Source organism: Homo sapiens, chromosome 1 (genome assembly GCF_000001405.40).
Source record: "Homo sapiens chromosome 1, GRCh38.p14 Primary Assembly".
Lineage (NCBI taxonomy): Eukaryota > Metazoa > Chordata > Mammalia > Primates > Hominidae > Homo > Homo sapiens.
In genome coordinates, this window is record NC_000001.11 from 215,060,158 (window position 1) to 215,087,873 (window position 27,716).

At 40.1% G+C, this 27,716-nt stretch overlaps 1 protein-coding gene and 1 long non-coding RNA gene across 8 annotated transcripts in view, besides 1 other annotated feature; one reads left to right on the forward strand and one right to left on the reverse strand.

Annotated features, from left to right (window-relative positions):
- The window catches only part of KCNK2 (potassium two pore domain channel subfamily K member 2), a 231,549-nt gene that overhangs the window by 54,616 nt on the left and 149,217 nt on the right, over positions 1-27,716 (forward strand). For 2 of the 7 annotated variants that reach the window (XM_017001249.2, NM_001017424.3), the window contains one exon: positions 26,211-26,521. In XM_017001249.2, the coding sequence (XP_016856738.1) occupies positions 26,211-26,521 (311 nt within the window). Of the gene's footprint in view, positions 1-21,643; positions 21,986-22,579; positions 23,275-23,602; positions 23,707-26,210; positions 26,522-27,716 lie in introns of those variants that run through there. The other 5 variants (XM_011509524.3, XM_011509522.3, NM_001017425.3 and 2 more) reach the window with 5 other exon arrangements.
- On the reverse strand, positions 20,025-22,167 carry LOC124904511 (uncharacterized). The gene is made up of 2 exons (XR_007066878.1): positions 21,933-22,167; positions 20,025-21,802 (listed from the first exon to the last, which is right to left on the reverse strand). It is a non-coding gene; the product is annotated as an uncharacterized LOC124904511 (long non-coding RNA).
- Positions 22,938-23,460: an enhancer, noted in NCBI's record as "H3K4me1 hESC enhancer chr1:215256438-215256960 (GRCh37/hg19 assembly coordinates)". NCBI's record gives its function as "activates a minimal SCP1, AML or CMV promoter by ChIP-STARR-seq in naive H9 embryonic stem cells {active_cell/tissue: H9 hESC(naive)}" and the evidence as "EXISTENCE:reporter gene assay evidence [ECO:0000049][PMID:30033119]".

Genomic DNA, 27,716 nt, shown 5'->3' on the forward strand with positions numbered 1-27,716 from the left:
GTCCGCAGTGCCAGCCAGAAAGCGCTGAGAGGAGGCTAAATGAGCAGGCAGAACCTCGGCCGCAACTAAACAGAGAAAAATGAGTCTAGATGTATTGGCCAGAGGAGTCAAGGGGAGATGCTAGCAGTAGGCTCCAGGAGAGACCAGGCTGATACTTCAGAGGCATCAGCTAATGCACAACGAAGGCGTGGCATGACCAGTTGATTCTATCCTCCTGCCACCAAGAGATGAGGTAAATATTTTCTTGTAGCCTAGACACTGTCTTTGAAAGGATCAAAAGAAGAAAAGAGTCTGAAGGCCAGTGCAAATGTTCCCAAAGGACTGAGTAACACCTAGATGCAGGGTATACGTTATTGGCTCAAAAATATACTTTAAAACTTAATTGGATCCGGTTTCCTTTTAAGAAACGTTCATGCCATGTAGGAGGTGAGGGCTTTGAGGAAGATCAGAGTAGCCGTAGAAAAAAATTATGAATCTATATTTATCTACATGCCCGGGAGCAGTGTGTGTTACTTTTGTATCAACTAGTCCACAGTGTTCACTTGAAACTCATTCTTTGTTCTGATGACTTGGGTGTTCATTGAATATAAATTACCTTCTCTATAAAATATGGGACTAATAATATTAGCACAGAATCTGGTTTCTTAGGTACATCATTATAAAAATATGAAAGAATAAATTTAGGAACACAATGAACTATTTAAGCTAAATATTAAGACTATATGATTGTGCAACTAGAAGATTATTTATATATTTTTAAAATTTCTAAGTAAGTTTTCTGATTACAGAAGACATGAATGTTAGGAAAACTTGGATCACACAACTGTATTTTAATAGAAATACATACCTTCAAAAATAGTATTTAACGTGTATATAATATACAACAACATATAGATATTATGATTTTTTGACCATTGCTCTAATGATGAACATAAACTTACTACACCATTTTTCCTATTAGAAATACTTTTGTGTATACATAAAACTTTGCAATTTTATCTAATCAGTCAGGAAATGGTAATATGTTAACTAGCTTATATGAGAATGAAAGTTCAGTATTAATGGATTTGTCATTACCACCAAGTATCAACTTCAAACAATATGGCCTTGGCTTAATTGTCAAAATGTTTTGAAGCATCTGCTTTCAGCTTTCATGTAAAAAAAAAAATCAAGTTTGTCATTCTTTAAATTTTGAAATTAGTTAGAAGTGTGAGTTTACCAGTATTTATATGGTTTATTTCTTTTTCAAATTTAGTTTCAATGTTCCTCTTAAAGGGACTTTGGTTTTTTGGGAGGAATGGGTTCAGAAATAAGACTATCACATGTTTCTGGGTTTAAAAGTTAAAAGAAAAAAAATCTCCAGACAAAGAACAAGTATTTTAATTGCTTTACTGGCATGGGATTTTTGTGATTCAAAAATCATTTATAAAGCTTTAAAAAGAAACTTCTGATAGTCTGTCAAGTATGCAAATTGTCTTGAGAATTGAAAGTTAATCAATTCACTAGCAGCAACTCTTGGGGCCTTCATATAAAAATATTTTAGAGTTAATTTTGTAGTTTGGATAATTCAACAGATTTAAAAGGGAAGTACATTTTTTTTTAAAAAAAATTTCAGAATAAAAGATGATTGTCCTTGTTACTAGTTAGTTTTAATAATAAAGGATAAGACTGAGATTCCATGGCTCAGGATGCTTCTTAGGAGAAAATTATGTAGGAAATTGTCTAAGGGTAGGAGGAATAAAGAAGGAATAATTAGTGGATTTCATTTGTTTTACTTTTAAAAGGAAATCATCCTGGAATTATAGATTGATTAATTAAACACAGCCTCTAAATTCTAAAAATTATTAATAAATTATACAACAGTTTGAAGTAATTTGTAATATAATAATAGATGCTAACAATCTTCAACACAACATTATGATTATAATGGTAACACTCTCCCTTTCTGCTCTAACCAATACATGGCTTTCATTAAACACCAGACAGGTCTCTGACAGAGTTAATTGTCTAAGCCTGTTCAAAAGGCCGAAAATTGCTCTCTGGGAATAAAAAACATTATACTGGAAACCAAAGACAAGATAAGAGTCTGGGCTTTAATTTAAAGAGAGGAGATGAATGCTGGGCAGCAAACAAAGGCAGTCAGTACTGGTTTGAATTTTTTGTTTTACTGTACTACTTTGGATCAGTTTAAACCATTTCAGATATGAAGAAGGCATGTGCTCAGCTCATGAGCTAAACTTGTTGAATCCTATGGCTAGTACCATAGCTAGTCTACAACATCAGATATTTACACACAGGTGGAACACACTGGGAAAATAAATATCGAATCAGACTTCAAAAAAGGGCAACCTCTAAGGGGAAGGTGGGATGAACATGGAAACAAGAACTCTACACCTGATATGATTTAGATAGTGAGTGATTTAGATACTATCTAAATCATTTCAGGTGTAGAGTTCTTGTTTTAGGCTTAGAGTTTTATTTATGATAATTAGATGTGGGATGGGCTAAAGTTAATTTCATCACTATTGAGAGAGAGTTGGCTACAGAACTGTGCAAATAAGACCACAGAAGTTTTGTTTAAATTAAAGGCCTGCTTTTAAATTTCTTTGGTATTTTTAATTTTTGCTGATTCCAAACTCATTTATTCACTCTTTAAACATGTATTACAACACCAACTCAACTATGTGTTGGGTGCCGGTCAGAAATTTTGAAATACAAGAAGGAAAAGATAGAGACCCTGATTTTATAGGAGAATGAACACACCAGAAAACCAATGAGGACATACAATACAATGGGATAAGAATGAAAAGGATAAACTTGGGTCTAGAAGAAGGATTCCAGAAAGGTTCCTGTGAGAGAAGGAAAAACAGGGAAAGCAATGCTCAATCTTGGAAAGAATTTTGAAGGTTGAGTGGAAGTTAGCCTGATGGATTTGGGTCAAGGAGTGAGAGAATGAAGAATGGGAGAGTGGTCTGTTTGTGGGAACGGTAAGCAATAAACAATAATAAAGCTGGGAACTAGGGTACTGCAGCAGCAAGACAGAATACAAAGCTGGAGAAACATGCAATTGAAGAACATTCTATTTCTTGCCAGTAGCTTGAATTTTATCCCTAAGGCTGTGAGAAGCCACTGGCAGGTTTTCAGCTGGATTGTACTATTGTCAGAGCTGTAGTCTGACCACAGCAAGGAGAAAAGATTAGAAACAGATACGGTGGTGGCAGGAGCACCAACTTGGAGACTGCTGCAGTCACCCAGGTGAACAGGATGAGGTAACAGGTCCATCTTGCTCACCTGTCCCCATCCTCATCTCCATGAATGCTTGCATTTTGGACTTTCTACTCAACATATCATGATTACCTGAAAGCTACTTTCTCCTGCTTTTTCAGGGAGGAACTGTGCTAACAGTAATAATACCATTAAATTCTCTGAGGAAGACCTCCTTGAAATGCACCTATATTGTCTGAAAGAAGCAATGATCGTAAATTAATATACCACGTTAGCTACTCCTCTCTCGCTCAGACTCCTCTGAGAGAATGGCATGAGAGCAGGTCTCTTGTGATTGGGACGAGAATAGAAGAGAGGCATAATACACGGTACATTAGCCTTCTTTTCCTTAAGGAAGTGTCATACTGAGGGTCCTGGCAAGCATTAGAACCGGAGGGATAGGGTGCCAAATGGAAATGGAGAAAGAAAGCAAAGAAACAGAGCTCCCTTCACAATATTTTCAAAGGGAAACCAAAATTAACAGCTGGTTAGATTTGTAAAGGTCACAGATAAAGTGTCACCAGAGGGGCAAGAGGCATACGGAGCATGTCTGGGAAGATTTTATGGATGAAATCGCTTGAGTAGAGTTTAAACGTAGGAAAAGTACTGTGATGTGTGTATGAGGGGAATGTGTGTGTGACAAGACTGAGGAAAAATAAATCACTGTTATCTATCAAGTTTTTAGCATTTTTTTGATCGTAATAGAAGGAAGCTATGTTGATTCACTTGTGGTAGTGCAAAGAAAATTAGAGAAAGGAGATTCCGTGTGAAACATTTATGCTAAAGTACTGCTTTTACCTGTAACATCTAAAATATCTTGAAAACTGGGACAAAAGTGTGCAATTTTTCATTTTCAACAATTTTTTGTGCTATAATGCCTCGGGGGTGTGTGTGTGTACGTGTTTTTGTTTGTGTGTGTGTGTACGTGTTTTTGTTTGTGTGTGTGTGTAATATGAATCCAACCAAAAAAATTTAAACAACTGGATTTCATGTAGTTCAGAAAATTTAGAAACTGCCCAAGTCCTAGACAGGATGTTTGACTGCATCACCTCGGTGATGAGACTGCAGTATCCACTGCCTAGATTTTGCACGAGGCACCATTGGCTTCCCTGGGTGATTCCAACCGGCCTGGACTTGTTCAGTATTTTCCAGGGAGCTCACTACTCAGACATAGAGCTGATCCTTAAAGAAATGCAGGTAACACAGAAAACCATGGCTTGCTGGCACCTGGGTCAGGGAAGAAGAGGATGATACCATCTAAGAGTATCGTCTTCAGGGAGCTGAGAAACAGGGGCCACTCTGTTTTTCTTTAACGTCAAGGCCAAGCTTCATTGACAGCACAGTTGTTTTGTATTGACATGTCCACTCTGAAGTCCCTATCTTGTAATTATATTATATTATTACATTCCTTTGCCATTCCAAACAGAAAAGATTCTAACTTCCTCTTCCTCCCAATTTCTTGCCCTTATATGCCCTCTTTATTTCTTGTGTTTGTGGGATGTCACAGTATTGTGTTAAAGTGTTTAAATATTAACTGTGTTTTGTCAAACAGGTTCATTTGTTATTTGATTTGGGGAATCTTTGAAAGTAATACAGGATTTAAACGTTTTAGGTATTTCAATATAGTGTTTATTTAAAGTAGTTCTAAGCTGGGAAATTAGACGTTATATAATCAAGGCTTTGTTTTCTTACTTTTACATATCTATCTAAATACTTTCAGAAAGTATTTTAAAAGTTTCTTCTAAACAGAACTCTGAAAATGGAACAAGATTTTTAGGGGCACTCCTAATTTGTAGAAGCCCTGAGATAAATCTTACAAAGCCAGCGGCTGTCATCTATTTTATCTGGTTTCAAAGTTTGATTTTGTACATTTGTTCTTTAAATATGTACACCTGTGAACCAGAAGTTACAGAGAAATTTATATGCTCTTTAAATTTCCACAAATGACTTAGACTTGATCTTTAGCCTTACCCAAATATTCAGAAAAAAAAAAGAAAAGGAAGAAGTGAAGTTAAGCATCAAATTCATGAATTGAGATATGAAATATATTTATTGGAGCATTTAGGACCTCAAAACCAAGTTCTTTCCTTAGCCCTGATGTCTTGTTACTGACTAGAGGTAAATTATGACTTCTTAATGCCTCAGTTTCATGTTAAATGAGAATTAGGTGCCCAGGAACCACATGGTAAAAGGGATTTGTGAAGGCAAACGATTTTAGGAACTTGTTCATGTAATTAACTACCAAGTCTCTCTAAGTCAGTGCCTTGTTCTTACAAATGTTATATATCTTTATTAGATGGCAAAATTTGGACACCTTGCATCAGTAACCCATGCTTTGACTTGGTCTGGCTAGTGACAAGATATATGTTTTTGGAAGAAAAGTGGGAGGAAAGAAAGGAAGGATGTCTCTTCTAAAATTTCAAAGAAAGCCAGATGTAATGACATGCATCTTTAGTCCCACCTACTCAGGAAGCTGAACTGGGAGGATTGCTTGAGCCTAGAAGTTTGAGTCCAGCCTGGGCAACATGGTAAGACTGTCTCTAAAAAAATTGATGAAGCTGGAAGCCATCATTCTCAGCAAACTATCACAAGAACAGAAAACCAAACACCATAGGTTCTCACTCGTAAGTGAGAGTTGAACAGTGAGAACACATGGACACAGGGAGGGGAACATCACACACCAGGGCCTGTTGGGAGGTGCAGGGCTAGGAGAGGGATAACATTAGGAGAAATACCTAATGCAGGTGACGGGTTGATGGATACAGCACACCACTATGGCACGTGTATACCTATGTAACAAACCTGCATGTTCTGCACATGTACCCCAGAACTTAAAGTACAATAAAAAAAGATATAACTGATATTCAATAATTTCCTGTTTGAATAAAAGAATAAGTGCACAAAATAATTGATAGAAACATATGATATAACTGTTTAAAAGTCTACCAAATTTACCCCTGTATTCCTGTTTATTTTGGCTACTGAACGTAACCAAAATCAATATGGATACTGAGAAATACTATTTAATAAAGACATAAATTAGACTGCTAAAAAAAATTAAAGAAATTTCAAAAGAGAATCCACCTCTTTTCCTTGCCAGTGCTCAAAAGTGAGTGTGAATCTGGTGGCTGTGGGGCTGTTTTTGGTGTGGCTCTTTGGACCAGCCTGCCTGGTAATTCAAGCCTGCCTCTCATTTCTGATTCCTGGCTCTAAACTCGGGATTTTTTGCTTCCATGCAATAGTCAGTAGAGAGGGCTGACCAAGGTAGTCTGATAGTGTGAAAATGTGTGAAAAGGACTCTGCCCCTTTTTCTTTGCCTCGGAATCTTCTTTTATTTTTTATAACTTCAGGCCAGGTAGTAGATTTTGGAGGATAAGGATTTTTACTCTAAATTTGATTAGGGAAAATGTATCATTCAGAAAAAGCTCTGCATGTCTCAACATGCGTCAATCTTGACAACATACATTTTCAATAAAAAAATAAAGTTGAAAAAATTCATATGATATAATTTTTGTAAATTTTAAAACACTTTATATTTTTATGGTCACATACATACATCAGAAAAATACATTTATTCCCACAAGAAAGATGAACACCAACTCCAGGAGAGTGGTTATTTTGTGGAGAGGGGAAAGAAAAAAACGAACGGGGTGGGCTGGGCTGAACTGGGACTATGGCTGTAACTGTTTTTCCTCAAAAGGAGGAAATCTATCTAAAGCAAGTCCGCCAACTGTTAGTACTTTTAAAATCCAGGTTTATACTATCTTCAGTTCTTTTTTGTACTTTGAAATATTTACTAAATAAACATTTACATAATTCATGTATCAAAATATCACATGTATCCCATTAAGTATGTACAATTATTATTTATCAATTTAAAAAATTACATGATATATATAATTTTTTAAAAAAGTCTCTGAGGCTGCTGAAATAGTTTGAGAATCTACCATGCATTAGACATTGAGAACACAAGTATTAGGATTATGGGGACTCTACCTGAAGGACCTCATTGTCAAGAGGGAAGAGGGATATAACAAATACTCCCAATAATATGTGATGATCACAATCATATGTAATGGCTTCTAAATAGAATGATTGACTCTATAAGGACCCTTTCCTAGAAGACTTTGAGGAAATCTAGGTCAGAGTCATGGCAAAAAAATCATCACACTTGTTGAATTTTTAAAAATTTACTTACTTGGAAGGCTGAGGCAGGTGGATCACCTGAGGACAGGAGTTCAAGACCAGTCTGGCCAACATGGTGAAACCCCGTCTCTACTAAAAAAATATAAAAACTAGCTAGACGTGGTGGTGGGTGCCTGTAATCCCAGCTACTTGGAAGGCTGAGGCAGGAGAATTGCTTGAACCCAGGAAATGGAGGTTGCAGTGAGCCGACACGGTGCCACTTGTACTCCAGCCTTGGTGACAGAGTGAGACTCCATCTCAAAAAAAAATTACTTTCATATTTAATATTTCAAACTAATTGCAAACAAAATATTGTTAGTGAGAGATCCTCAAAATACAACTGGGAAATTCGCCCATGTAATTTATTTCAATAAATGTTATGTACCTTAGCATATGTTTCTATATGGTCTTCTCCAAGTCTGTTGTCTTTATGTTTCTTTTTCTTTTTTTTTTTTTTAATTTCTTGGAAATGTATCTCCCCAGCTAGATATCCAACTCTTCAGTAAGGGCTACCTGGTTTTCATATATTAATCACCCACTCTCTGGAGTGTTTAGTGTAGTACTATATAAATGATAATGATGTTTCAATTCTTATGTAATTCCTACTATGTGTTATGAGAACATAGTAAAGGGGTACTCAACCCCAAACTGAATTTTTGGGGCCACTGTCACCAGATAAGACATGTGGAGTTAAGATTCACATTGCCAGAAATATGCAGGTACAGTATATGAAGAATATAATGCCACATATGAAAATGGTACAGAGGACATCTATTACTTCAGGCGAAAGAAACACTACAGTTAATTACCAAGAAGGTTGGCAAGGCATTCTGGAATCTGAACAATGCACTATTGGCTCTCAATAGAAAACACTAAACACTAAACAAGGTTTTTTGTTTTTGTTTTTCACTCAACAAAAAGACACCAAAAAACTTAGCATTCCATTGTTGGGGTAGATACAAAAACAAACAAACAAAAATATAATTTATTCTATTAATAGCTACACTTGGTGGCTGGTAGATTTGCATTGGCAATTGTTAAAAATAGAACAATAAACATTTGACATCTCAGTCTTAATTAAGATGAGCATAATGTGATACTGGGTTGATAGGGATAAGGGACATCCCTGGTAAATCTGCAAAGAAGAAACAGGTATAACATATGAGTCTTAGTAGTATATACATATTATACCTGTTGACTTAATAGAAAACTCCCTTCCTGGGGCCCTTATTGTGTTTATTTGTTATTTTCACACTTTGATCCCCTTAGCAACCAGCTATTTGGGGCTACAAAAGTTTTACTTTAACTGAAATCCTGTTTGTGGAAAAGTTTTATCAGTGTCCAGAAAACAACATTGATAACAATGAAAGGAAACAAAAATCAAGCAAACCCAAAGCATTTAAAGCAATCACGGTTGCTAAGGAGATGGAAAATAAAGTCAATACAATTTAATGGACAGTTTCAGATAGCAGCAGTACAAATGTACTCAGGGAAATCTGAGTATGTCCATTGTAAAGAAGGTGGCATCCTCACATCTTTAACAGTGAGGATAGATGCGTAGACACCCAGTGTAGCCTTGTGAACACCCCTACTGTCTCCCTTTCTAACTGAATTGGCTCTCACCTATCTGCGCTTTGTTGGCCGCATCCTGGTAAGGACTTTTCCCACATCAGGGTGTCTAGCAAAAGCTCCCTGCCCTAGGAAGGAGCTGCCTAAGTTGGAGGGTCCTCTCCTTTCTGGAACAGAGGGGCTGGAATTTGACTCCTTCTTTTGCAACCTGAATTACCTGATTACTTCCTGAATTGCAATTGCTCATTTGATTCCTAAAAGCCAGCTTCCAGTGTTTTCTGGGCCAAGCCCCAGAGGATAATTGGCCTCCTCCTTTTTGTGTTCTCTTCCCAGACCCATCTTCCTTCCCTCTTTCCATGGTTCAGTGCTGACAGTGGTAATACTAGTATTAATAGTGACTAATGTTTATTGAGTTCTTAATATATTTGGGCACTATTCTAAACACATTTTCAAATGTTAACTTTTTGGGGTCTCATTAACAAGTTGGGGTTTATATAATTTTCACCCCTATTTTGCAGCTGAGGAAACCAAGGCACAACTAACAATTGGCTGGGCCTGAATTCAAATCTAGGTAGTTCACAGTCTTTATCTGTAAACAATGCTAATTTTCATGTGAATCTATGTTGTAACAGAATTACTTGGGATAATGAAGGTCATGGAGGGAACACAATGACTTTCAATGTACCCGAAGTCCCTTGGTGTGAATTAAAATGCTTTTTGATGATAAAAGTCATGGTTATGATGTAATCTTTCTTGGAGTTAATAAGAACTGGTGATTTTGTGTGTATTGGGGTAATGGTGGTTACTTACACCCATTCAAAAAATATTTGCATACTCATGATGTGCACTAAGAAATCAAAGAATAATTCAGATGAGATGCTGTATTAGTCTGTTCTCATGCTGGTATTAAAGACATGCTTGAGACTGGGTAATTTATATAGGAAACAGGTTTAGGTTGGGCACGGTGGCTCATGCCTGTAATCCCAGCACTTTGGGAGGCCGAGGTGGGCGGATCACAAGGTCAGCAGATCGTAGGCATCCTGGCTAACATGGTGAAACCCCATCTCTGCTAAAAAAAACACAAAAAGAAATTAGCCGGATGTGGTGGCGGGCACCTGTAGTCCCAGCTACTTGGGAGGCTGAGGCAGGAGAATGGCGTGAATCTGGGAGGCGGAGCTTGCAGTGAGCCGAGATTGCACCACTGCACTCCAGCCTGGGCAACAGAGTGAGACCCCGTCTTAAAAAAAAAAAAAAAAAAAAAAAAAGGAAAGAGGTTTAATGTTTAATTGACTTATAGTTCCACATGGCTGGGGAGGCCTCACAATCATGGCTGAAGGTAAATGAGGAGAAAAGGCATGTCTTACATGGTGGCAGGCAAGAGAGCTTGTGCAGGGGAGCTCCCCTTCATAACACCATCAGATTTTGTGAGACTTATTCACTATCACGAGAACAGCACTGGAAAGATTTGACCCCGTGATTCAATTATCTCCCACTTGGTCCCTCCCATGACACATGGGAATTATGAGAGCTACGGTTCAAGATGAGATTTGAGTAGAGACACAGACAAACCATATCAGATGCCTTCCTTCAGCTGTCCTATTAGCTTTCAGTTTAGTAGAGGAAGCCAGACATACAGACAAAAAGACTCACAGCATAAAAGATGCTATGAGCATACATCAAGACACATGCAATTACGATCAAATGTATCAGAGGTAAAGAAGAGGGAAAGTTTCACAGAGGAATATACTCAGAATATATGATCAGGCAATTGTCCTGAGCAAATTAAATTAATCAAATCAATTATTAATGTAATTAAATTTTTCTAATTAATTTACTTCTACTATATGAAGAAACAGATTCCATGGGAACTTAGGGCCAAGCTTAATTTTCCTCATCATATCTTGTTTTTATTTAAATTATAGTTAGCAGAATTCTGAACTAGTGGAGTTTCCATGCTGGTTCCAATTGTTCTCCCAATGGGTGTTTTGACACTCCATAAATATATTTGCATAATTGGCTGTGTTAGTTCTGGTGTGATTTTGACATGTCTTGTGATTCTCAAGGTCTCAGAGAAGCTTGTGACAACCCTGAATCAACATTTTGTCCTCAGTTATTACCTAATCATGCACATTATCACATAGAGGGGTTTGCAGGGATGATAGATGAGAGTGTCTATATTTTGAGTGACTGCTTAGGAAAGGTCAGAAGTGCTTTCTATAATATCAAGCCTTAAAACCCTTCAGTTGTGATTTCCGAGCTGAGAACTGAATCAACATAAGAGCATTCCATGGTAACTAGCCTGCATCTGTTATGCTCCAGTAGCAGGCTGTTGCAGGACTAGAAACACATCCCCATCTGAAGCATCTAGTAGTGTTGCAGAAGTCAGCAGGTAATAAGCAAAAGCCTAGGAGAAAGCTATAATTATAGCAATTCCATCAGAAGTGAGTGGTACCACCTTGTAGGAAAAGAAATGATTTATTCTTTCAGAGAAGGGAGATGAACAGAAGAATCTGCAGAAGGCATAAATTGCATCATCAAAATTTCAGTGCAATGCATGTTTGGGCATAAAATTTTGGGTGGATGAGGAGCTGCTTCTTCTGTAATGTACCACAATACCTGGAGCTCCAGGAAGGGGGAATCAATGCAATAGAAGACAGGTCCCATAAACAGTGATCCAGCGGGGAGGGTAAATGTCAGTGAAACAGGCAAGCAGGCAAGGATTAGGGTAAGGCAAGTGAGGCCAACTTGTGCAAGTGCAAGGTTAGATCTTGCCTTTGTCTATAATTGTAATCTTTTGTTCAACATGGAGTTTTGTATTAATGTTGATTTTTAAAATATTGCATTATTATTTATTTTGATTAGTGTGTGTTTTGACACTATTTACACTTTACTCCAGAGGAAAGTATCTCCTTAGTGCTGGCCCTGCATGACTGCTGTTGAAGTGAGATATTTTAACACTTACACTATATGAGTAAATAGACCCATTGCATTTTATTGTCGGTGTGATCTCACAGGATATCTGATGTTACCTGTATTAGTCTGTTCTCATGCTGCTAATAAAGACATACTCGAGACTGGGTAATTTGTATAGGAAAGAGGTTTAATTGACTTACAGTTCCACATGGCTGGGAAGGACTCACAATCATGGCTGAAGGTGAATGAGAAGCAAGTTATGTCTTAGATGGTGGCAGGCAAGAGAGCTTTTGCAGAAGCTGCAACCAGGAGAACTTAAGACCATGTTTAGCCTGCAAACACATTTTATTTGCCATAAACAATGTTTATTTTTTAAAATTGCATTAGTTGCCTCTCTTAAAATTGGAAAATTTCTTCTAAAAACAATTTGGATGTCAGGCTTCTCTTGAAAAGTTGGAAGGTCTAACACACTGGGTCTATGTTCTCTCACAGCAGTAATCAACTAAAGCTGATGAGAATATTTTCTCCAGTTCTCTGGGCCCACTTCATGTGGGCATGTTACCTGCCTGGTGCTGTAGGTGTTGGAAATCCAGAGATTCTGAATTCTGCTTAACTACAGCATCCTTACAATATACCTCTTAAAGATGGTCTTGCATTCATTTAATAAATAATGATTTTTTGCATACTACATGTAAAACATTGTGCTGAGGAACAAGACAACAAGGTCCCTTGTCTATTGGAATTTGTTTTGGTCTTATAGGCAATGTTATGGGCTGAGTTTTGTCCCCCCACTACAATAAATAATAGAAAAGATATGCTGAAGTCCTAACCCCAATACCGTAGAATGTGACCTTATTATGAAATAAGGTCTTTACAGAGGTAATGAAGTTAAAATGAGGTCATTAGGATAGACCTTAATCCAATATGAATGGTGTCCTTTAAAAAGGGGGAAATTTGGACACAGAGACAGATACACACAAAGGGAAAAGGATGTGAAGACACACAGAGAGAAGGTGGCCATGAGACTGGAGCGCTGCGTCTACAAGCCAAGGAACACCAAGGATTGCTGGTAAGCCCCAGAACCCAAAAGAAGCAAGGAAGGATTCTTCCTTAGAGCTGCCACAGAGAGCAAGGAATTGCAGACACCTGAATTCCTGACTTCTACTCCGCAGACCACATGTTTCTGTTACTTCAGCTACATGAGTTTTTGGCACTTTGTTATAGCAGCCCTAGGAAACACAGAAAGTTACTAAATAACAGTTGGAACAAGCACTAATAATTCTTGCAAAGGGGTAATAAATGGAGGGTGCAGAGTGCTGTGAGAGTATATGTTGGGATGCATTGGTTGATCTTGTTTGGAGGTTAGGGGAGCTTTTCTGAGGAAGATGTGTTTTTACTGAGGTCCGAAGGATAAATAGAACTTATTTTTCTGGTAATGAGGGAGACAGGTACAGTCTAGGCTGGAAGGACTTGTATGTGTGGAGGCTCTAAGGAAAGAAGGAAGAGTAAGATACATTCAAGAAACTGGAATCCGGCCAGTGACTAAACCACAGAGAGAAAATCATGGAGCCTGCAGGTGTGGGCCCTATATAGCAAGGTGTATTGACTTACTTGCTGTGCTATTTTGGGGAAGTTACTTAACTTCTTTGAGAATAACAACAGTGTTTACCTCACATGCGTCTTATTTGGATTAGATGAGATACTGAGTGAAATGGCTGGACATGGTAAGCCCTTGATAGATGTTACTTAATATTATGATTCCTGTTCTTGTTATTATTCTTGACAGGACAGGATGTTTATGGCCCTGGGATGCCTTTAGGGATGTAGTCTCTATCCTGAAGGCAATGGGAAGCTAGTGCGGGATTTTAATGAGAAATTCAATACTTCAAGCCAGATTTTGTTTGTAAAAGTTCCACATGACTCAGTGTGGAAAATGGACTGGAGATCGGTGGAGTGGAGGCCTGAGGAGAGGTGACTGAGGTAATGGTGGTGGCAGTCTTGCCTTGATCACTTTGTACAATTTGGGGAGATCACACAACCATCTTAACAGATTTTGGAATTCCACAAAAGACACTTTCTTGTATGTTTAAGGGTTTTCTTCTAGAACGAAATGCCCCAGGGTGATGCATGGATTTTCAATCTCAATCCTTCCATAAACTTAACAAGTGGTCTTGAGCAAGCCTCATGTGGCTCATTTAATCATGATGCAAAAAGGTAAAAGGGAGAATTAGATTCCATATATATAGGGTGAAGTCAACATCTTTGGTTAATGAACACATTTAAAAATGTCTTTAGGAGATTCCAAATACATCCTCTTTTTGCTTTTTTATTCCATTTATGTCTTGTGAATTCATTTTAGAAGGGAAATTGTATTGATTTGCTCTTCATAAAGCCACATTCAGTGCTAACAGAATTTGTGATCTCAGGTGAAGGCAAAATGCTGGACTGGCAAATGTTCACAACAAATATAAGTTTCAAATAAAGTACTGGATGTGCTAGAAATTCATTAGATAATGAAAGTCATCAAGAAACACTGAGAATGCTGTAGTTCCTTCTGGATTTATGGCTGATTCTTTTAAAAAGCATCACATTTGATATAATTGCTTTGCCTAGTATTGGCACACTTAAAAAATTATCTGACAAATTCATTGTTGGTGGAGGATTGTCGGTGGAGGATTTACCTGTGATGCCAGAGGTAAGAAACGTTGAAGTCTAAATATGCTGTGTTCATTTCCTAGTGAGAGTTTATTATGTCACTCAGCTTTGAAAGGGAAAAAGAAATCCCACAGCAGAATTTCCTCCCGAAAATGGAGTAAATTCTAATGTTTTCTGAACTTATTCTGGTATAACAGAGTATCATTAAATAAAGATTTCTTTTTATTATAATGCCCTTATTCAATATCTTATTCTCTGTTGGGCAAAGTTAAATATGAATGTTATCTTAATTTAAATAATTAACATATGCTGTATGTACACTGGTTAAAGCACTAATCTTCATATGCAAAACATGGGTGTTTTGACCTGCATGAATTTTCAAAACTAAAAAGAAATCATATCAGACTAAGAACTATTATTATAAAGCAAAGACCATTGTTTACATTTAAAAACTTACCTTTCTTCATATATTTGGGTGTATATGTTTGTTTTAATGTAAGCAAATATGCAAAGCTGTTAAAAAGATATTGTTGAATGTCATATATTTTAGGAATTTTTATTTGTATGAAATGAACCAGCCAATTTTAATGAATTTTGTAAAGTTTTATGGTAAAGTAACATTTAAAAAAATTTCAGGGTGAGGCACTTTAATTTGAAACCCACTCAGGAATTCAATGGTGTTTTACTGAATAGATATGGACACAGTTTCACTAGTGTCATTCTTTCCTTAGTATGTTTACTCCATGATGACGAGGATTTGTTGCATCTTTTTGACCACTATATCCCCAAATACTGGAAAATCTCTTTCTGCTACATAGTAGGTGCTTGATAAGTACTGGTTTACTGAATGAATACATATATTTATTGGCATAAATGGCAAAAAATTTGTAATGCTGTTGCAAATCAAAAGAACTTTTGAACTTCACACTTTTAAGCTTGAAAGTGGATGTTGTTATGTGCCAGTGTCTGCCACAAATTTCTAGCCAGCCATGTTGGTAGAGGACCTGAGTTGCCATGTAGCCCAGGTTTTCAGCACTGCCCAGTTTCTCACAACTGCCAGTTCCTCACCACCAAGCTATCAGGGCAGAATGAACTAGAATCCTGCCTCTCATCCAGTGGTTCTTGAAGTGTGGTCCCTGCCCTAGCAGCATCAGCAGAATAACCGGGGAACTTGTTATTCATGGCCCACCCCCCAGGCAAGAAGCATCAGGTACTTTGGGGGTGGGCCCCATAATCTGTGCTCTAACGATCCCTGGAGGTGATTCTAATGTACATTCAAGTTTGAAATCTACAATTGTAGACAATGCTTGTACGGACATTGCTAACATTTACCTCTTCGCTCCCTTTTCCATTCTTCCAGTGATGTCCAACTCCCTTCTCATTAACACATTCTAATTTTAGGAATATGAATTCTTCAAAATGAATAAATTTTGGCCTTTGAAAAATTGCCTTCTTAAAATAATTTGTGTATCAGGTCTGAAACTTTATAGTCTGGCTTGGAATCAGACTCTTAGAGGTTGTATTAGTTATCTATTGGTGCATAGAAAACTAGCCCAAAACTTAGCAGCAAAAACAAGACTCATTTATGATTTCACAGTTTTTGAGGCTCAAGAATGCAGAAGCATCTTACTTGTGTGGTTTTGGCTCAGGGTCTCTCAAATGGCTGAAATTAAGGTGTTGCCTGAGGTTACTGTCCTCTCCAGGCTTGACTGGAGAAGGACCTGCTTTCAAGCTCACTTACATGGCTGTTGGAAGGCCTCAGGAGCTCCACCTGCAGGCTTACTCACATGAACCTCTCTGGAGGGTTGATTTATGATGGTGAAACTGGCTTCTACCACAGAAAGAGAATCAAGAGAGAGCTAGAGAGAGCACAAAGGAGAAACCCCAGACTGTTTGTAACCTAATACTGAAAGGGATATTCCATCACTTGTGCCATATTCTATTTATCAGAAGGAGTCAGTAAATCCAGCCACACTCGAGGGGAGGGGTGAAACACAAGGGCCTGAATACTATGAGGCAGGAATCATTGCGGGGGTCAACTTAGGGACCCCCCACAGAGCTGAGTTATTTGTCATTTTCTCCTATTTCTTGCATTGCAATGTTTCAATTAAGGCTCTTGATATCAAGTGTCAGACATCTCAACACTAACTGGCTTAAACAAGAAGAATATGTATGTGGCTTAAGGTGTGGTTTGACATGGAGGATTGGTCAAATGTTATCACCTGGACTTGGTCATCATGGTTCTGTTTGCTCTGTATTGCTTCACTCTCAGGCAGCTTCTCCTCTCCTCTTAGCATAGTAGCCTCCAAGGCTTTCAGGCTCAAGGTCAGCGGTATAGAGCAAAAGTTGCTTTTCTGAGTGTGTCATAGGCCCATGCCTGAACCAGTTGAGAAGCTGAGAAATTCTGACTATATTGGTTGAGGCCCAAGACACACACTCCATTCACAATCAGGGATGAGTCTCATATAAAACACAACAGGTATGAGAAGGGGTGGTAAGTGCCTTTGGAAGGACATCAGAAAGACATTTCATCGAAGTACTGCCTAACTGTTGTCTCTCCCTGAGTTTTTAGTAAACTGGAACTTCTAGGAATATGCCTACCCTCTCTGTCACCACCCACTCCCCACATCCAAAGGGACGCAGAGCCCTGTTGATCTACTGGCAACTCTCCAATCTACTCCCAACAATATCACTATGAAACCCTCACCTGGGCTAAAGCAATAATGTCCAAATTCACTTATCTACATGCTTACATTCTTTGTTCACCTTCTACCTGTTCTGCACATAGCAACCAGAGGGATTTTTTTAAAATGCACTTGATGAGATTTCTTCTGCGATGAAAATTCATCCAGGTCTCATTAATTAAAATCCAGATGCCACCTGACCTGGTTTCTACCTGCCTCTTCAGCTTGATTACTGTCCACCACCAAGCCTCACTCTCTGAGCTTTCCAAATTCTCCCAGCTTCTTCCAACTGCAGTCTTCTTCCGAGCTCTTCTCTCTGTTGGGGAAGCCCTTTCTTTCCATTATGCTTTTCCCTTTCCACCCTTGCTCATCTCATCTTCAGAATCTAATTTTTACATCACTTCTTTACACCAGCCTTCCCTGACCCTCTAGAAGTAAATACTCCCACTTTACCTCGTGCCTTCTTCTTATGGCTTATCAGAATTTTAAGCACTCAGTAAATATCTGATGAATGTGATTTATTTTTCATCTTCTCATACCTGTGCAATTGTGTTGCTCAGAAGATTAAATAAGTGGCAAGATTCATTGCAAGGGTGTCCAGCCTTTTGGCTTCCTTGGGCCACATTGGAAGAAGAATAATTGTCTTGGCCTCACATAAAATACACTAACACTAATGTTAGCTGATGAGCTAAAAGCAAATCATAAAAAAACCTCGTAATGTTTTAAGAAAGTTTATGAATTTGTGTGGGGCCACATTCAAAGCCATCCTGGGCTGCATGTAGCCTGCAGGCCGCAGGCTGGACAAGATTGTATTATAGAGTTGGAATTCATTGGTGTTCTTGCTTGGTCAGGAGCTCCCCTGGTTCATATGGTTGATCAAACGCAGGAGATAATAAAACTCTTTTTAGAACTGAATTGGTCTGTTCTCACAATGCTATGAAGAAATGTCTGAGATTGGGTCATTTATATAAAAAAGAGGTTTAATTAATTCATAGTTCCGCATGGCTGGGGAGGCCTTAGGAAACTTACAGTCATGGCAGAAGGCACCTCTTCCAGGGCAGCAGGAGAGAGAATCAGTGCCAGTAGGGGAAATGCCAGATTCTTATAAAACCATCAGATCTCATGAAACTAACTCACTATCATGAGAACAGCATGGGGGAAACTGCCCCCATGATTCATTTACCTCCACCTGTTCCCACCCTTGACATGTGGGAATTATGGAGATTACAAGTCAAGGTGAGATATGGGTGGGGACACAGAGCCAAACCATATCAGGAATGGACATACTGAACACATAAATGCTGTCTCACTTTGATTCTTACAACAATCTCTTGTGAGTTCAGTGTATTATCTCCATTTTATAGATGAGAAAACTGATGTTCAGAAATAAAAAGTGACTTCTTCAAATTCACATGGCTCAGAAATGGTAGAGGCAGAATACCCACAGACGTCTCTTTGACTCCAAAATCCTAGATATGATTGGAACTGCAAGAAAAGGCAGTGACATTCTCATTTTTTAATTTTAATTTTCACTATGACATTTTGAATAGGCCAAGGTCAAAAATCAAAATAAACATAAAAGTGAAGTCCTGTAGATTTCATGCTGCTAGTTGGAGCAGAACAATAGATCTGAAAGCACCAGAATAAGGGCAGTATGGAATTTTTGGAGAACTAAATTTTTTAATTATATAATTTCAGTTTGCTTATTCATTAAATTAAAGTTAAGAGGTGTTGAGTAGTCCTGCAGCATGAAATAAATGTATTCCATCTTTTCTTTCTATTATACTTTCGATGGGGCTTATATATATTGAGTGAATTAGTCCATTATTGCATTGTTATAAAGGACTAGCTGAGACTGGGTAATTTACGAAGAAAAGAGGTTGGATTGATTCACAGTTCTTCAGGCTGTACAGGCAGCATGGTTGGAAAGACCTCAGGAAACTTACAATCATGGCAGGAGGTGAAGGGGAACCAGGCACATCTTATATGACTGGAGCAGGAGGAAGAGAGTGAAGGAATGATTTCACTCAGATGTTTATCAAACACATATTTAGTACCAGATGCTAGTTACTGCAGATATTAAAAGTGCTTACATATTTTTAAGCAACCAGATGTCATGAGAACTCATTATCAGAACAGCAAGGGGAACGTCTGGCCCCATGATCCCTATCACCTCCCACCAGGGCAATCCTCCAACATTGAGGATTACAATTTGACTTGAGATTTGGGCAGGGACACAAATCCAAACCATATCACTGAGTGATGCAGGAATAAAGCTAAATGGGATAAACCATCCTATTTCCTCATTCCTCCAGCTGCAATGACATACAAATTAGTATACTACATTATTTTCCCTCTTACTTCAAACAGCATGAGTAAGTCTACATTTGGAACAAGAGGGCTTTTAACGGGGGCAGACTGTGGGAGGACTGGGTGGTTTCTTGATTCTTTCAAATTATTTGTGAGGCTGAGCATTTGGCTTGTTGGGATGATTCCTGTTAATGTTACAGTCTGAAATTTTATCTTTTTATCTTAACATCTCTGTAAGTTACATCACTTCTCCCCCAACCCCCAAGCACCCTACATGAATGTGGGGCCTAATAATGAAAATAATACAAAGGGGAATGTGGAGGACAACTGCTATGTATGAATTGATAGCAAAAAGCAGGGAAGATGGCAATCCAGCATTTGGGATTCATGATGAGACCTAAGTTCCATGAGTCTGGAAAAACAGAAGCGCTATGCAAGCATATATCAAAACATATTTAATTTATTAAACAGGCATATTCAAACTATTAATCTCCCAGTCTAGTAAGCATTAGCCAGTTTGACAGAGGACTAGTGCTGGGCAAGATGCGGTTAAATTTGCAGAAAACTCGGAGGGGGGAATGAAAAAGAATAATCGAATTGCGAACAAAATGGGAAAAATGAAAATAATATTCAAAAAAATTTGAGGAAATTTCATCTGGAGAACAAAGAGCCTATGAGACAGGGTAGAAAATGATTCAGAATATAGTGAATTCATCTCATTTCTCATGTATGTAGGGTATACCCTGGTTCCAAATACCTGGAGGGAGACCAGGTGAATATAAGAAAATGTCAGCTATTTAGTAGGAATAACGATTTCACTCAGATGTTTATCAAACACGTATTTAGCAGCAGATGCTAGTTACTGCAGATATTATGGTGAACAGAGAGATATGGTTTATGCCCTCACTGAGCATACAATCTAGTTTAAAGAAGCAAAACATCATGTGACAAGTATAAAGATAGATGAAAGACGAGTTGACCTGGGAAGCAAATAGTAAAACACCTGACTGGCCAGGATTCCAGGGAAATTTCTGGGCAGCATGGAGATTTGCAGGGTAACACCTGTGATGGTTAGTTTTATGTGTCAACTTGACTAGGCTACAGTGTTCAGTTATTTAATCAAACACGAATCTAAAATCTAAGTGTTGCTGTGAAGGTGTTTCATAAATGTGTTCAGCATCTACAGTAAGACTTCAAAACGAGATTGCTCTAGGTAATGCTGGTGGGCCTATATCACAAGCAATTGTGAGCCAAAAATTAGATTTCCTGGAAAAGGAGAAATTCTGCCTTAAGACTGAAGCATCGACTCTTGCTTGAGTTTCCAGCCTGCCAGAGCTGCCCTGTAGATTTCAGAGGGACCTTCCAGCCCCCATCATCCTGAGCCAATTCCTTAAAATAAATCTGTTACCCCACACACGTACACGCAAATGTGTGTGTGTGTGTGTGTGTGTGTGTGTGTACATATGTTCCATTTCTCTAGAGAACCTTACTGATAAAATACCTTAGTCATGTAAAGTTGGTGTGTGTGTGGTGTGTGCACTGAGGGAAGGTAACTGCCCAGGAAGACTTAGAATGAAAAAGATTTAGCCAGATCAGGAAGCACATTATAGGTGACCTAGAGACTTTGTAAGGATTGTGAGAGGATCAGATTCACATTTTAGAAAGGACATCTGATTGTATTACTTTTGAGCACATAAGTTGAGAAAAATGTGTTTGAATTCCAGCAGGAAGGATATTAGGAAGATTTTTTTTTAATAGGGGAAAGAGGTGCTGAATGTATTCTGGAATCTAGAAAAAATTGCATTTTTATCATTGACGGTAACAGTTTTGCAAAAGATTTACAAGCTTTTTTTCCCCTACAATTACGTCTATATTTTTCACTAAGAAGTTCTTGTAACTGGGAAAATACTCCAATCTGGCCGAGCAGCAGTTATGGAAGAAAAACTCTAGCAAACAGCAGTTGGGATGGGAGGGTGGAGGTCATCAGGGGATTCCCGCTGAGAAAGTGGGAAGGAAGAGAGTTTAGAAACGGATTGAAGTTCCACTACATCACGTGTGTTGTTAGAGAATTCGCCTATTACGACGACAGCAACGTCTGATCTCCTGGCTTTCTTCCCCTCCTTGGTGGGTTCCGTTCCGTCCCCCTGTCGCTGCGAGTTTGGCTGTCCCTACGCCGGGGTCTTGGAGTTTGGGCGGGGTCTGGTACCTGCCAAATACGGATCCTGATGGGGAGGAGGTCGGGGAGCGCTAAGTTCAGGCTGGAGTCTGAGTTCTCCCACCCTGCTGCTCCCACCCACCGCGCTTAGAAACCTATGTTTCCAGCAAAGGGGTCTTGCTCTGAGAGAACCTAACCGGGTTTTCTTCCATTCCCTTTGCATCTCTAGATGTCTTCGCCCTGGCTCCAGGTGCGTTCCCCATCCTTTTCGGTCCCGGACGTTCTGCAGATTATAGCGCCCAGCTCATGTCCAGCACCGCCGGAGGTGAAGTGGGGCGAGCTGGTGACTCCTTAACCCTTCCCGAAGGTGTAGACTGGAAGAAGCCAGGGTCTTCATTACCTCCCCTACTCCAGGGCTCTCAAGGCGCCAACGGGGACACTTCCCTGTACAGGTCTGGGGGGCCACGAGGGCGAGGAGGACGCCCTAGTGCAGGGGTCCAAGGACTCGCGTCCCAGAGCTTGGTCCCACACCCGGTCCCACACCCCGAACGCTGGTCGGGAAGGAGATAGGATGCAGCGCAGTGTGATGTGGATGCCAGACAGCGAGAGTGAGGATTTTGCGGGGTGGGGATGGGGGTTAGTGGAAGGGGCTGAGAGGGGAGGAGGCAGCAGGTGAGCCAAGGGGTTGTGCCCCCAGGAAGAGGGAAGAGAGGATCTTTAGAAGGGAGCATCTTGCAGGGGCGACGCAGGCAAGGGTAGGGCTAGGAGGAGGTGCGGGGAAGCAAGCCCTGGCGGTGAGACAGGAGGGGGAGGAGGCGAAGAGGAGGGAGTTCCGAAAGGAGGGAAACGAGCCGGCAAGGGGCGACAGGAGCGAGCCGGGAAGGGAGAGCAGCGGAGGGCTGCAGAGCTGCGGGCGCCCGGACCGTGCCACACACCCCCCGCGGGGCACGGAGGGCATTGCGGGGGGAGACACACAAAGACATGCGAAGAGGGGCTGAACGAGGCTCGCGCACAAAGACGCCGGGGCGCACGGCAGCTGGGGCTGCACCCACCGCCCCCGCGCCGCGCCGTGCCGGGGCCGGGCCAGCGAGCAGCCCGGGGCTGAGCGCGTGGCGGCGGCGGCGGCGGCGGCGGCGGCGGGCAGGCGCGGGACCCGGGTCGCCCGCGCTCTCCGGGTGACCCGGGCCCGGCAGCAGGCGCGCGCGGGGGCGGCGGCGCCCAAGCCCAACTTGGCCTCCGCCTCGCCCTCTGCCCAGCCCGCCGGTGTCCCCTCCTTCCCGCGATTTCGTTTCTTCTCACGCTCCCCCCCCCGCCCCCTCCCGCGTCCAGCCCCGCTCTCCCCACCTTGTAAAACAAAGCCGGGGAAAATGCCTGCCCGTGCAGCTCGGAGCGCGCAGCCCGTCTCTGAATAAGAAGTGAGTACAATGGCGTGTTTGTAAAAAAAAGCTTCAAGTCCGTCTTTTTCAAAAAACATTTTGAATGCTGCATGCCTCATGCTTCCCAGCGCCTCGCGGGAGAGACCCGGCTATAGAGCAGGAGGTGAGACCCCCCCTCCGGTACCCCCACCCCTCTGGCCGCACGCTCTCCTGCCCCAGCCTTTTCTGGGAGGACTGCAAATGCCCCCTCTCAGCAAGCGGCCGTTTCCCATCTTCGCTTCGCGTCCAAAGTGTTGGGTCATAATCTGGATTTGGAGGCAAACCCTTGCCAGATCCTCTCCACGCCGCTTCTCCCCCCTCTCCCGCCGGTGCCCGGGGTTTTTGCATCTGCCTGAGGTATGGGTTTGGAACACCTTGGGGGAGTTTCCCATGGAGAAGGAGGGTCAGCCCTTGGGAGTAGCCGGCAGGCAGGACTCATGGTGACCCCGGTCACACTTGTTGCCCATTGCCTGGTGGGACAGGCAGTGGTGCTGAAAAAAGCTTGCTTCCGCTGCTATTCAGTGGTCAGTCGCCGCTGGAGCGAAGACATATCTGGGTGAGAACAGAAGACCGGGATTAACAGAAGACTGTGATGAGCTGGGGGAGGGGAGTGGGTAGTGACGGTGCTGAGTGTGTGTGGAAGGGGCAGCTTCTCTCCCTGATCATACATCAAATGGCGTGGAGGTGGAAACCAAGAGGTTCCCTGTATTAAAGATAAAAGTCTGCTTTTATTTTTTAAAAATATTATTTTGGTATTTCATCAGTTTCTGTCCATTCTGTCTGCCAAATGTACATTACATATATTTCTGCTAATTAAAAAATAAGGCAACAGCTTAAAAGAATTAAACTCCTTCTGGAAATGTATTAGGTTAATGCACACACACACACACACACACACACACACACACACACTCTTAAAAATACCTGCCCCTTTCCCCAAAAAGCATATAATGGCCATGTGGCAATGTCTTAATGGAATTTCAGATTGGGATTTGGTGCCATCAAGGTAAACAGTCTTAGTGCTTTCTGGTTCTGCAGAGTGTAAACCACTGATGTGAAAAATCACAAATAGGAGAGCACAGAGATCTGAGGAGGAGAGACTTGGAAATCTTCATTTAGAGAGATAATTGTGGAACTTCTATGTGATTTTTTTGTTGTTTTTGTTCCAAAGATGGCTAAATTTTAAATTATGACTTTTGTTTTTCACTCAGACTCACTAAGCAGCTAGGAGGTTGTGGGGAGTCTGCAGATTATAGTGATTTTAGCTATTATCAGCACTTCCATTTTAACAGTTTTTTTTAATTATAGCATTAAACACATGCCCAGTGCTAATTTTGAGTGAAGGTGTCTTTATAAATATTTTAAAGGTATCTACTAGCTTGTGGCTTTATTTGGAACAGGTGAATGTATCAGGAGAGAAACATGTGCATTCCTCTGTGTAGTAGGTTGAACCTTAGGAAATTGCTGTAATAAGCTATATGTACATGGAATCTCCACTTGGAGCCATGGGTACAGAAACCTCATCACAGCTCTAATTTCATCTCTTCCAAATCAGATCCATTTGGAGCTTTGCTGACTGAGGATCCTGCCTTCTGCCATCATTTTACAACACTACTTAGGTCTAGTGTTTTAAATATCTTTGTTTGCAAAGCTTCTTTTTGATGGGGAATTACAGATGTATTTTATGAATTAAAACTATGGTAGCCTACAATTAACTCACAGTGTTAGGTAAGAGGGCAGGGTAGGTAGCCATGTGAAAACTGGCATTTTTTATTAGCTTCTCATACTGAAGTAATTTCAGATGCCTGTAGGGTATTTGAGTGCAATTCCATGGAGATTTCTTATATACTTACCTGAAAGTGTGTTTTAGATAAGATTATCATTTTATAATCTATATTATATACACGATAGCAAGTTTACTGAAATCTGTAGCAATTATGGACTTTAAGCTGATTATTCTGTTTGAGTTGATGGTTTTTAAAAGTCTTATTTTTCGGCCATTCTATTAACCTTTTTTAGTTCAATGTTGTCTTTCCACAAAATGTCCTGTAGTAGGTGTTTTATTTTCCTCTTAGCAAGTAGAAGTCTAGTATCTCTTATATTTTTGAAAAAGAAATCCATTAATGATATTTTTGAACAGCTGTGATAAATAATAAATGGATTTATAGTCACCTCCGACTATATGGCAATTTGTTAGGGAACCATATAAATCCACTCTAATGGAGCAATTAGCTTTGAACAGAGCATGTAGACAGTCAAGGTGTGAGCCACGGTTTTCATTTTTTTCTTGATATTGTTCACATTTGAAAAGGAAGTTACTTGTCTTCTCTAGGTTGTGCCTAGGATTGACACAATGATTAGCAGTAACTTTTATTGGTAAAACATGTCCAAGATTGAAAAACAAAATACAGAGAATGTTTCATCATGAGCCCACTTTGGAGGACAGGCAAAAAGACAAGATTCGACCATCGAGTGGTTTATTTACCACCATGTTTTACCAGAAAATGATGAATGATTTATTTTGAGTAACAATGTTTGGATCACAAATTCTTTTATAATGCAATTCATTTATTGTAATAAATTTTAAAATGAAAATAGAGAATGTTCTTTATATTGCTTGCTTGTGATATAAAGTTCTTGAGAACGAGAATAACCATGAGCCGTCTTCCTGAGTATTCAAATATCTAGTTAAGTACCATCAACTCTTAGGAGTTCAGTATCTCTTTGTGGACCGGCACAGTGGACAGATGTAAATTTAGAAATTGATTAAGAAGCCCTCAGGCATTCTTTTCTTTTTTTGAAGTTTCTTGGTTCGACTCCAGTTTTTTTCCTCTCATTTTGAACTCCAATAGCAGCAGAGAGCACAGATCCAGCCCCCTTTCCTTGAACCCATATATGTGGTCCTGAGATCTAGTGACAGCACTCCTGGTTTGGGTTCCAGAGCTTCCACTAGGAGAGCGAGCGGAATTCAATCAACCTTCTCTGACCCCTTAAAGAAGAAGCCCGACCAATTCCCTTCTCATCTCCTCCAACCTAACCCTCATTCTCTGTTGTTGTCAGTGGCGGCACCTGACTTGCTGGATCCTAAATCTGCCGCTCAGAACTCCAAACCGAGGCTCTCGTTTTCCACGAAACCCACAGTGCTTGCTTCCCGGGTGGAGAGTGACACGACCATTAATGTTATGAAATGGAAGACGGTCTCCACGATATTCCTGGTGGTTGTCCTCTATCTGATCATCGGAGCCACCGTGTTCAAAGCATTGGAGCAGCCTCATGAGATTTCACAGAGGACCACCATTGTGATCCAGAAGCAAACATTCATATCCCAACATTCCTGTGTCAATTCGACGGAGCTGGATGAACTCATTCAGGTAATGGCATGGGAGGAGTTGTTACTCTGTTCCCCCAAATGGGAAATAAAGTGATAGGAGGAGACAACTTGTAGCCCAGTGTATTACAGGTGTGCTGGTGGGAGCCCTATCCCACCTCATTTGCCTTAACATATAGCTCTTTTCCCCAGTTTCTTTGTCTCATTTCCACTTCTCCTGCCTATATTCTCACTTCTGCCACTTTTTCTTCTCTTCCTCTTTTAGTTCTCTCTCCCAGTGTTCCTTCACATCCTCTTCTGCTTCTGTTCTTCTGTATTTCTTTCCTGTTGTCTTCCTGCTTTCTTTCCCTTTGCCCTGTCTTAGAAGTGCCAGTGGACATCCATGGGGTTGGGGTTACCACGCTGAAGGTCCTCATGGTTAGGATAATCATTGTCAACTGAGAAACATTGCTGTGGCAAAGGGGAGGAAAACAAAATATACAGAAATGTGCTTTAATCTTGGCAGTGGCCATCATAAGATAGAAAAGATGAATTCATGATGTGACCCTCTTGAGATGGGTACCGCTCAGGTCAATAAGTTGTAGCTTACCTCTGAAGCCAAGGTATAACTTTGATGACTACCTTTTTAAAGTATCTGCAGATAAGTGATTAATTATTGCTTCTCTAACCCCCAGCTAAGAGAAATTTACTAGTACACAGAAAAAGAGTTTTTGAATAAAACTAACTTAGTTCTAATTTACTTTATAATAGCAGAACAATATCCTTACAGAAAAACATTTTTGTTTTAAAAATTAATCACAGTAAGTTTCAGTTAGGCTCTTTAGAGATGGCAGTATTCTGGTTTTTGTAGATTTCTTTTGCATAAAACAATTCATTGGTCAAATCGGGATCTTAGTGAAGAAGAAAACTTTAGAATTTTCTCACAAGGAGTGACTTGACTGGTTGTTGAAAATGTTTTAATTGTATACACATTTGTTTTCCTATAGAGCCCACTTTTCTTACCTGATTTAATTCAAATTGGAATGGAAATTATCTGTGAGTCATCATCTGAGCATGTTCTTTCTTATTTCATATTTGGTTTTACATTGTTTGAATGAGTTGGAATAGTGGACTGAGGGGAAAAATTATTGTTGGCTTTAATCCTGCTTTTTGTTTGAGGACCCTTTCTCTCATTTCCTCTTGCCATGGATCTCAAGATACTATCTCTGCCCTTCATAGTCCTCTCAATTTACAGCATA